Source organism: Homo sapiens, chromosome 18 (genome assembly GCF_000001405.40).
Source record: "Homo sapiens chromosome 18, GRCh38.p14 Primary Assembly".
Classification (NCBI taxonomy): Eukaryota; Metazoa; Chordata; class Mammalia; order Primates; family Hominidae; genus Homo; species Homo sapiens.
The window spans coordinates 74,639,519-74,651,784 of NC_000018.10; the positions used below are offsets into that span (position 1 = coordinate 74,639,519).

At 34.7% G+C, this 12,266-nt stretch overlaps 1 protein-coding gene across 8 annotated transcripts in view, besides 1 other annotated feature; it reads left to right on the plus strand.

Annotated features, from left to right (window-relative positions):
• ZNF407 (zinc finger protein 407) overlaps positions 1-12,266 on the plus strand; it is a 467,802-nt gene that overhangs the window by 41,649 nt on the left and 413,887 nt on the right. For all 8 annotated transcript variants that reach the window (NM_017757.3, XM_017025838.3, XM_011526069.4 and 5 more), the window contains one exon: positions 1,490-1,604. In NM_017757.3, the coding sequence (NP_060227.2) occupies positions 1,490-1,604 (115 nt within the window). The remainder of the gene's footprint in view (positions 1-1,489; positions 1,605-12,266) is intronic.
• Positions 6,001-6,859: an enhancer, noted in NCBI's record as "VISTA enhancer hs378". NCBI's record gives its function as "enhancer in: limb[3/5]" and the evidence as "EXISTENCE:transgenic organism evidence [ECO:0001131][PMID:17130149]".

The following is a 12,266-nucleotide window of genomic DNA, read 5'->3' on the forward strand; positions in this document are numbered from 1 at the left end:
AACTGTATTTTCTAATGTGACTGATAGAATGTGATTGCTGTAAGCTGCAGTCTCAACCTGCTTTTGACATTTAAACATATAAACCTGACTAGATACAACCATTCAGGTGCTAAATATATTTTACATCTACTTCTAACAGCAGAAATGGAAATATTAAGAGATCTGGCTTCATTGTCATTGAACTGTGAAATATTCAACCTTGTCTGCCGGTGCTTAGTACTGTTGACTTTTTTATTTCTGTTGGAAGATTAAAATTAAATGCTTCACTTTTTTTGTCAGCTTTTGGGAATTAAATTGAAATTTAAGACTCTAAAATTTTTTACTGAGTGCTTCAATTTCAACAAAGTATTCTTGGAGGATTTTTTTTTTTACAAGGACACTGCACAAAGGTTCATTGATCAAATATGATTTATTACAATTTTTTAAATTTGAGCTCTTTTTGTATATTTATTAAAGTTCACATATTTCGTGTTCTATCTAACTATAGTAGAGGGAATATTTCACCATGTAAGTACTGAATATGATATGAAAAATCAGGAAACGTACTGATTTTAAACTGGTTTTTACAATTTTGATTTATTTGAAGATGTATTGGTTAGAAAGTTTGGAAATGGTGTATCTATTTTATGTCTTAAAAGAGCGTTATTTCTCATTAATGTGGATGATTATCTGTTAATATGTTTCAGTTTCAATCTTATCTATTACTGACACTAAGTGTGTAGACTTTGAAATAATCTTATTTTCTCATTTTTGAGTATAGTTTAATCTTAATTCTTTATGAAATGACAACAAATTTTGTATGCTTTTTGTGTTGAAATATTTGTTCTTGAAATTAATAACCAAAATGTCAGTTCTTCCAGTTTGTTTAATCATCATCGATTTTTGACTATAAAAATGACCATAAAAGCATAAAAATTTATCTACTGTATATTTATAAATTGTGTTATTAAAAATATAGATAATAATTTGGGACAAATGCCAGGAAAAAACCTGAAATATACCATTGTTTTAATGTGAGTAAATTCAAAGCCGGAGAAATATGAGGAAACAAGGAGGTGGCCACAGAGAAATGTATTTGATGATAAATATGCTTTTAAAAATATCAGCTGCCCTGAGTGCATTTATGTTTTAAAAATGTTTTCTTTGAAGTGTTGAGTGACTTTAAGATGTATTTTTGTGAATTATAAGAAAAATATTTAAAATTATGTAGCTCATCTCATCGACTTAGTACTGCTCAGCAGTCTCACTTTTGAGTTTGAATCTTAGGATTGTTAGTGGAAGTTAGGAAGACTCACTGAAACAAAGTCTTCAGAGTAAAATAATTATGGAATCAGGTCTATTCAAGTTATAAATGAATGCAAGTATTCCATTTTGGGTACAGAAATTCTTAATTAGGTTAAAGGTATGATTTAAGATTTAGTCCTCTTTTCTAAGCTATTGGTGATGTATTATTCAAAATCAAATCATATTTTATGTTAAATTTACTCAGGATCAAAACCATTCAAGTGCAAGATATGCCATTTTGCAACAGCTCAGCTTGGAGATGCCAGAAACCATGTGAAAAGGCACCTTGGGATGAGGGAATACAAGTGTCATGTCTGTGGGTGAGTAAATTGAAGCCATCTCTGCTGCGTGAACCAGGAAGCATGTGCAGGATAGCCATTGTTTCGGAATTCAAAACCGATAGGAGTAAGAGTGGCTAAAATTATGCATGCGTACCCTCCTTTCCATTGTTATGGTAAATTCCTTAAATACAGTTATGACATTCTTCTCCCACTTCTAATCCTGTACTGAAGATGAGCAATTTTATGGGCTACAAGGTCAATTTGAACCTGTAATCTGTAAATTGACTAAATTATAGGATGTTCATTCACATTGCCAGAGAGAACTATAAATTCCATTTAAAGACATACAAAAATACATAATATAGCTTTAGGAATGTATATGTATTTTTTTTTCTTTTGCTGTACTGCTTCAATTTTTATCACAGTAGTAGCTCTTTGGATCCATTGGACTTATTCTGTAAGGAAAGCAACAAAAGATTTAATTTCAGATGGCTGGTTACTGATTATTACAGGGATGATGCTGAAGAGAACTGTTGTTATGCATTTTTGTGTAACTTTATTTCAAAACTTATTTCCTTTTTTAGTTAATGGTTCTTTCTCTGAAGAATCATGTACAGTGTTTAACTGTTATTCAAATGTGTTGCATTGGATAGAAAGTGCTAAGGTGCCTTAATGCAAAACTGATTAATTTAGCAGAAATGTTTAAAAGGTTTTAAAATGCTAGATCATATATGGTATAACATAGGACATTCAGAGGTGGGTTTTAATACCCTGCTTCTGATTAAAAGTCTATTTTAATGCTGTTATGCTAGAGAAATTAATAAGTGCATCATATAAAAATTCTTCATGTGAAACCTGAGAAACTTGCAGTTCTTATGGCTAATTCACAAAATACCACAGGCCCAATTACATTATGCAACTTGCACATATTATATTAGGTTTTTTTTTTAGTAGAAGATTCTGCTGATTGATAGTACCATGTAAATACGTTTTATGTCAAAAACAAGTTCTGTTATTTGTTGGACAGTACATTTCATCCCAGGATGCAGTTGTGTATTTTGACCCTTAGGATAGTTTTACAAATACCTTTGCAAGCACTTTTATGAACCATGGTCTGTGGAATTGATGGTTCAGTGACTTGCAGCTAAAGTAGATGAAGATGACCCTTTGCCCTAAAGTCCCCTGAAGATGAGTGGGAGAATGAGTTTTGTTGCTACTGATTTTAGCTGCAAGGGTCAGGTGTCAAATGGTTCATTTTAATTGCTGCAGGTCTTGGAAGTTTAAAAGATATCTCATCTATTGTTTTTACCATATGAGTTATAGGAAAGGAGAAGGCCCTGACTCCAGTGAAAATTTGCTATTAGGTGGCAGTAAGCAGTTTTTCTCTCATTTCTGAGAAGTAAGTAAACAATTTTTGCATACTGTTGTCAATAGAGATCTAATTCCATTTATTTTTTAATTAGGGTTACTAAGACCCTAGAAAGAGAAGAAGAAAGCTTTTCACAGAACAGTTTCTAATGTGTCTGGTATCAAAAAGAATACACAATTGATCGGCATTAGTTGTATAATTTGAACAGTGCCCACCCTGCTCGCTAACTGCTTACCTCATACAACTGAAATACTGTATGAGTAGTTCATATATTTGATCCTGGAGATACAGAATTGTACATGATTATACATATATCGAGTTTTATACTGTCTTCAGAGAGAGAGCTATGTGTATGTGTGCGTTTGTAGAACAAGCATTCTAGAGTCCAGAATTGTATTTTTTAGAATTATGACAGCATTGAATTTCATCAGACTAGGAAATAATTGTTCTCTTTGTATTTTTACAATGAAATTTGATTTAAAAGTTAGGTAGCAATAATTTTAACAGTGACGCTGAGAGTTCTGAAGAATTGCAGTAAACTGAAGAGTACTTACTGATCTTTGTAGTTGGAACAGAATGGTAGTGAATTAGGTACCCTTCAGTGTTGCAGAAAAAGTATCATAGGTTGTTCCCTATTTCATGTGTTTCAAAGGGATAGGGCAGTGTGTAGGTTAAAAATTAAAGTAAAAAACATAAAAAAGTGCAAGGATTGGTTATCAGATTACTGGCACTAGAGAGTATTTATACATTGACATCACTGACAAAGTCAATTCATTATCATTGATGGCTAAATAATCTTAGAAATGCTCAGTGGACCTATTAGTTCCTGAACATAAGCAGCTCATGCTGCATTTCTTCATTAGCTTTAATTGCTATAAATTTTACCTTTTACAAAATCATGCTTTAAAAGGTGAAGCGATCTTTCAGGAACATTAACTCTATAATTTTGTCACAAACAGAAGGTCCTGCATTATGTTTTCTTTTCCTTAGTAGTTAATATCTTAGTCTCTGCCTTTTAGAATTTTCTTAATGAGCTCTTCATTATTTGAGTTTTAAGGAGTTATTTCTCAAATAGTCTTGATTAATAATATAAAAAAATTGGGCAGTCACATTTTTAAAGTGAAATTATTACTCAGAATACTGTACTCTTTTTCTTAGTAACCTCTTGGTTTTCTTGAAGAAGAAAACTAATACTTTATGGTGAAATTGATGGAAACAACAAACAGTATTGAGCTCAATATTAATGTCTCAGATTATTTGTAATTTACCTCTTTTTCAGATCTTTATATTAGATGATTTTGGATGCTCATCAACTGCACGTTTTGTGTTTTTCATTAACACGTAGTTTTAGGGTTGTGACAAAAACTGCCTTTTAAAGTTTTGTATAAGTTGTATGAACCTAGACTGATTTTCTTTGAATCTTCAGGATCAGTTTTAAGATACCATTACCCCCTTTTGCCCTGCCCCACTGGCAAATCTTAACTACCGTATATCTTGGGTTTAAGTTAGTTTGACAGAAGAAGCTGAATGTATTAGATGCCTAATTCCTATTAGGTCGTTAGGATTAAGAGTTCAGAATTTAAGTTTTGTGTACTCAAGGTTTACCTGCTCATGTCATGGTAAAAATTTCAAAAATGTATTGCTTTGTACATCATGTTTTAAGTACATGTTATGGATAACTTCAGGTTAAGAGCCATTTATTTTACTTTCACTTTTGGGGGAATCTTTTTTTTTTTTTTTTTTTGAAAAGTTGAGTTTCTTACTTGTTAAAAATATCCAAATGTGATCGAGAGAGGAATTTTATAGAATATAGGTGTGTTTATATTTAGGCACTTGATGGATAGTTAACATGAAAATCTGTTATGACTCTGACATAGGGCTTAGTGAGAGAGAAAGTAAGAAATAATAGAAACTATACCTATTTTTTATAGTTAATGCTTTTATTTAATAATTTTGTGTTTAGAAAATAGGCCAAATGCATATTTTTATTACATCCATGATCTTTACCTTTATTTCTTTCAGTAGTCAAAAACGTAAAAATCTCGATGACTTACAAAAGTTATTTTAGGCACCATGTCTTGTTAAATTCTTTTAAGTTTATTTTATTCTCTATGTACATATAAGGTAGTATACCTGGTACTCTAAATAGTATTTATGCAGTGCATTGTGGTCTAATAAATAGCCTTGATTAACTTTTATCTCACTTGTTGATTTCCATAGCTTTGTGGATTGCTTACCTTATCCTTCTTATCCCCATTTTACTGATGGGAAACTTAATATTCAAAATGTTTTCAGTGATGTACTTAAATTATTTGACTAGTAATGGTAGACCACTCTTTCTTCCTTTTAACTATTTCTTTTCTATATTTCTCCACTTTTTGTAATATCTGTTTTTGTTCCTGACTTTAGTTTGTACTTTTTTTTTCTCTCTAGGTTGTTTTCACTGCATGTAGGAAATGTAACTTATCTACTTTCTCCTACCATCCACTTTTATTTTCTGCTTTTGCCCACATTTACATTTTTTTAAAAAATTGCTTACACATTGCTTTACTTTCATATTCTGATATTGTCTCTCTCTGTCTCTCCCCAATACTTTCCCTATTTTATATTTCCCACTTATTAAGTGTTGTTTTAAATAGTTTTATTTTTTCCCACTCATTCATGTGTTGATTATTGCATTTACTTGTGGGTTACAAACTGAACATATTTGTATAATAGCAGGAGGTAAGGGTCTAAAAGTATAAAGATTATATCATCCCATTAAGGTGAGAGGGATATAATTGATAAACTAGGGTTATTGTTTTTGTTCTGCAGTGTTAGTTTTTTTTAAAGAGTTGTAGAAAACTAATAATTGGCCTGTGATTTCAGTAAACCTAAGAAATGATAACCAAGTTTGATATGCCATTATTGAGAAGCGCAGACCCTGGTGTGCATGATTTAGGAGTTGCATTGTTTACTGATTGATTTACCTAAGTCTCGTCTTGATTCTTGTGTATGGAGTTAAATAGTTGAAATGAATTTACCTAATCAGGAGAGAATAAGGGCATTTTCTAAATCTGTGACATCTGGGTTCATGAAAAGATTCCAGACATTTTAAAATTGTGTATTAATGTGCTTATGAACTGTTTATTCCTAGTTGGTTTAAGAAATCTTAAATAGAAAGTTACTAATGCAGTAAAACTCTTTGTGTGTGTGTGTGTGTGTGTGTGTGTGTGTGTGTGTGGCATTACCTAGTTTTTGTGCATTAGAAGGGATCTCTATGTAGATGATTATAATGTCACTTTCTGACCTTTGCAGCTTGAATAATTGTAAATCATTGCTTCATAACGTGTCAGAGAATGTCTGTACTAGGCAATTAAATGGCAGAATATAATAGACCAAATTATTGCCTGTCATGTTTTCAACAACACAGTTAGTATTTGAGTTACACTTAATCATTACGTGCATTAGCAACTTCATTGGAATCCAGCTTCAGGCTGAGCATGAAATACATTACATTATTTAAACCTCTAATGGTACAAGTCATTTATTTGTGTTGAAGTGTACAACATGCAGAGTTTCATAAAGCAAGGAACACTTGAGAGCTTAATTTATCCAAATCAAAGTCTAAATGCAGATAAACACAAGTGGCAAAAATTAGTAATTTTTATAGGCTGGAAATATTTAAAAATACATGGTTGTGGGTAATTGTAGGCAGCAGGAATAAATTAAAATCACTATTTTTAGTCTGCTGTGAGAACTAAAGCTGTGTATACCTAAATCATTAAAAGCACCATGGAATTGCATTTTTAGCTGAACAATTAGTTACACCCATCATATCTACAGATATATCCAAATAAAATAAGTATTTGGTTTAGCTGGTTGTTTTGGTTAAAGAGATATAGATAGGAAATGTTTATTCTATAATGTGGCATGAATTATGCTTATAACAGTATAAAGTGCAACATCTCTCAGTTTTGTAAAAAATATTTAGATTAACATTAAAATGCTCTCCCATTGTAAATGATACGTTATATATTTTATCCATATAATATTTTAATATTTTTTGTTGAATATTTTTGTCTTTAGCTTGAAATTTTAAAAATGCTATGTGATGATTGCTGTCTCTCTACCTCAGTTAGGAACAAAAAATTAACATTATTTGTGTATTCCTCTGATGTTAGAATCCTTGAGATACCTTTTATGTACTGAATGAACATTTACGATTTTTAAAACTGTACAAATGACTTTATTATGGGAAAGCCTAGGAGTGATCTTGGTTATACTATTCACATATAAAACTTGTTTTCTCAGATATCATCCTCGTGTATTTTCCAGTGAACTGTTTGGTGAAGCCGGGAGAGTGCTGGGGTGTTAGGACAGCAGAGTGGAAACTGAGGCAGCCCCCAGCTCCTCCTCACAGGGGAAGGACAGCTCTTGTCTCCATTATATCCTGGTTTATTTTTCTGTGGTAGTGGTTTTTAAAATTTTTGCCACAGAAGGGTGGGGTCGTAGATGTATTCCATGGCCAGTAAGTATGATCAACCTATAACAAAATAGAAATAAACTAAATATTATCATTTCTTGGTGTAGTAGTTGAAAACATTGGCTTCTGTGTCTAAAGTCTTTTCCAGTGAAACAATCATGTTCTAGTGACTTAACTCGTTGCTTCTTCTTCTTCTTTTTTTTTTAAAGTGGCTTCCTTGTGATTTTAAAATGCAATTGTGATGGCTGGATGTGGTGGCTCATGCCTGTAATCCCAGCACTTTGGGAGGCTGAGGTGGGAGAATCGCTTGAGCCCAGGAATTTGAGATCAGCCTGAGCAACATAGGGAGACCCTGTCTTTACAAAAAATAAAAATAATTAGCTGTGTGTGGTGGTGCATTTCTGTAGTTCCAGCTGTTTGAGGGGCTGCAGAGGGAAGCTCTTCCGAGCCCAGGAGTTTGAGGCTACAGTGAGCTATGATGGTGCCACTGCCCTCCAGCCTGGGCAACAGAGCGGGACCCCGTCTCTAAAAAAAAAATCTTCTTGTAGAGTCTCAGGATTCTGTAACCTTCCTGATCCCCACAGTAGAATATTAGGTGGGTAGCCATTCTCCTGATTTCCTTTGCCTGTTCCGTATTTTTTTTTCTTGTTAACCTTCCTCTCCCTGTTCTGTTTCTTACAGTCCTTTACTTTGTGGGTACTTTTGCTGTTTCTTTTCACAAGAGCTGGATGAGAAGGAGGTATGAGAAATGCAGATAGAAGGGAGGCATAACTGCTGATTTATTATTTGTTTATGATTTCTCATTTGGCAGATCCTCGTGTTTTCTTTTTTGTGTGTGGGCATGGTGACAAGGTGGTGCCCGGGCTGTCTGTGTTGCGGAAGCCACTCTAGGAGAAGGAGCAAGGCTGAGTGAGAACACAAGGCTGGGAGGACGAGCTCTGCTGAGGAGCAGAAGGAAAATCTTTTCTCACAGGAGGGTTATCTTTGAGTTGGGTCTTAAAGGATGAGGGGCCATTCACAAGGCACATTTGGACGTTTTTAACAGAGCGAACATGAGGGGAAGTACAGAGATTTGGAAGAGCACTGCAGGCAATTTCTGAAGTGTATGTGACTAACTGGGGGAAGTGAGGATTAAACAAACACCTGTTGGATGTCAGTATATGCCAGCACTGTGTTAGTCTTTAGGGTTAAAAAGGTCAAAACGACACCTGCCTCAGATGGAGAAAGCTTAGGTCAAGAAATACCAAGTCTCCCTAGCTGCTTCAGAAAACACTTCCTTGGGCTGGTAACATTTGATATGCAGCAAGTGGAAGTTAGGCAGATTAGCAGGGGCAGCCCATTCCAGGCGGGGGTTGCAGCAGGATCAACCATGGCGTGCGGGATGTGCACGAACTACAGGGCAGTCAAGACTTCTGGAGGCTGGATTGTGAAGCCAGGTGGACAGTTCCAGGGACAATTGGGTGAGGTGGGCAGGGGTCAGGTCACAGAGCTGGGCCATGCTGAGGTGTTGAATGCTGGCCTTTCCCTCTGCTTTCCATCAACTCGTTTTTTCGCTTGTCTTTCTTCCCAGTTTTCTGGACTGTGTGTAGGCAGTGAAGAGAGAAGTGGAAAGCCTGGTGGGAAGTGAGTTACCGCTTCAGAATCAAGGGGCATGGGAATTGGTCAGGGAGAATTATTTTAAGAGAATTTCACTATTTATAATTTTAATTAAAGGTGCTATTGATTTTGGACAATTGTAATGAAAACAGGTTGATAACTGATCCATATAACTTAATGCAGCATAGTTCCAAATAATAATTAAGAGGACATATGCAGTTACGTAGCCGTGCTACCTATGTCCACATGTAACTAATACCATGGTACCAGATGCTGTAATTGTTTCCATACTTGATCCTCTGGATGGGCAATTTCAGTTGGGACAGGAAACCATTAATTTTTAAAAAGTATGTACTGTGTAGTAATCTACTTACTTTCCTACATCTTAGTCCTGGGGTACTTGTCTTGTTTCTAATCGCTTCCGTGGTCTGTGTTTCTGGAGTGTTCTCCCTCCGCACCCTTGATCCCCTGTCACTTTTCTTCTGAGACCCTGTCTCCTCTTTCCCCTGCCTTAGCATTAGTATACCAAAGTCTGTTGTCTAAGTAGCAAAGTACTGAGAAATAGCAGTTTCAAGCACTGTAGAATATGCTACTATCTAGATATACAAATTTTTAGAAAGTTATTTTTGGTTTGCTATTTCCACTCAATTTTAAAAAGTCCTATTTACTGCTGAGGTACTATAAGAATATATTGAGCTGGGCTCAAGGGATGGTTGTTTTTGAAGGACCAATAAAGTGTTAATTTGCATCATAATTACGCTGTCACCATTACATGTGTTAATGGGGTACTGGAAAATTCTTATAAAATCTGGCTAAATGTAAGATGGTCTCTAGTCTATTTTAGAAGTGCTGCTGTAAGTGAAATAGGTGAAAGTGGTCTTATGTCAACACATCTGGTAATTATCATTATAATATTAGAAAATAAGTATGATTTTTTACATTGTGGCTAGGGACATTGATAGTCAAATGCTTCACAACATAAATTTGTGCTAGTCTGAAAAATTGGAATGTGTTTAAATATTAAAGACATTTTAGTATTCACCACTAAAATTTATTTTAAAAATAGGGTTTTAGAACTTACACTGTTGCCTGGTCCAATCCATCTAGTGGACAGGTAAAGAAATTTGGGTCAAGAGCTTAAGTGACTTTTCACAAATGGAGACAAGAACCCAGGACTTGTGACTCTCGGGTCAGGGCTGTTTCTATTTTATCCCACTGGCATTCTAATTAGCTTTAATGTAGCTCTTAAACTTTTCAGTCTCACTATTTTTAGCTACCATTCTTTTTAACAAGGGAAATAATGGACACAGGTTTAAGCAGCAAAGTTAATTAATTGATCAACATTCGTCCATTCATTTTCAAACATTTTCTGAGTGCCAAACGTGGGAACTCTAGTTTCAGTAACCAACAGTGGTGAATCTATTATAATTCCTTTTGAGTTTAGATGGTCACTTCTATCAAAGGATAGAATTAACTATTAAGTGATGAAGATACACAAGCAATTTGGGTATTCATTGTGAGGCAACTGTTTTCTCTTTTCCTTAAGATGATAGAACATGGGCAATGTGAATTATATCTAAAATCAGCTGGATTGTCAAAAATAGCATTTCACTTTATTTTGTATTAGGAACAAATAATCGAAAATGTCTTTGTCATAGTCTGTTTGACTAGTGCCCATTGGCAGAATAATTTTATTTCCCCTGCCACCCCTCCCTGCTGTCTCTTAGTTCTTAGCTGAAAAGTTCCTTTTCAGCTAGTATCTGATGGACTATATGGTCTCTGTGCATGGTATCGTTTACAATTGTTGGTGCTTACTTAGTCTGCATCATGTAGCACTCCTGCCTAGTCACTTTAAGGGATGCAAAGACTGACAATTTCTTTGTTTTGAATTGCTGCAGTACTTCAAAAGAAGCCCCATTGAGATTTAGAGACTTGTAAACATTGAGAGAAACGGAGCACCTTTCTGCATCCACAGACAAGTTAGGTTGATGACTGCTGTGTTGGTGTAGTTCAGCAGACATCCTGTTAGTCACTCTTTCTAGGTAGTTTGGTTGACAGGGGTCTGCACTTGGTCATACACTTTAGGGTGGGCTCATGTATGAAACAGGCAAACTCACAGACTTTGCAGGTTCTCTTTGTGAGAGAGACAGAGAACACTTACATAGGGCCTAGGTGGCATTTTTGAAGTATTCATGGAAGGGGTGGGCCACGGGAATATTGTTTGTTACCCCAAAGAACACATTATCTTAAGGTGTAGAAAAAAATTTACTGGCTTTATAGTAATGTCATAACAGTTTCACTGTAATTAAATATTTTTGCACTAATGATTATACTGTGATAGAGAGCATAATAAATTATTGAGAACTACATTTCCATTTCTGTAGTGGAGGGGGCAAGAAATTGCTATATATGTGTGTGTGTGTCTATCTATCTATCTATCTATATATAAATATAATATTTCCCCCCTTAGCTTGGTGGGACTGTAGCTCAAGGGTAAAGATAGAAATTTTGGTGTTTATGTTACAAAATTATTCTTAAACAACCCATTTAAGTCTTTCTGGGTTGTTTTAGTCTTGATGTGTTAGAGAGTGATAATTTTATGCAAGTTATGATTAAAACCCTGTTACTGTCATCCTTAAAGAGCACATTAAAAATACCCTGTTTGGAAAATGACAGTTTTAAAAATAGACAAAATTATATGTTAGTTATGAAGAGCGATGGAATTTATTGAGCCGAAATGTTTTGAAGGAGATTTAAGAATCTTGCACTTTGGGAAGAAGTTAATGACTGATTAACAACAGCAATTAAAAGATGAGGAAAAGGTATATAATTAAAATTGCAGTACTTGCTTTGTCAAGTACGAGTGTCATCTATTGTGTACTTGTTAAAAGCTGAAGAAAAAGAAACCAGCATTTAATTTCAGCCCGGTTTTGAAGAAGAGGCCGATAATTTGCCTGTAGATGCCTGCGTGAAGGTTGTAACTCATGTTTAAGCGAGACTGTGTCATTAGAAGTTCACAGCCATGTATTTTCTGTTGACAGTCATCGACAGAGAATATTTGGCAGTCAGAAGTAATTTAACTTAATTAATGGGATGCATATTTGATGGAGGAATAAAATATTCAGGCTCAGCAAAGTGGAAAAAAGGAAAGATTTAGTGGGAGTAAAAGGTTGAAGAATGTAATTTGTGCATTCATTCTGCTGCTCAGAATTATGAATTGTCTTGCAGAGATATAAAGCCGAGGTGATCCTTAGATGGAAATGTGCTGTCC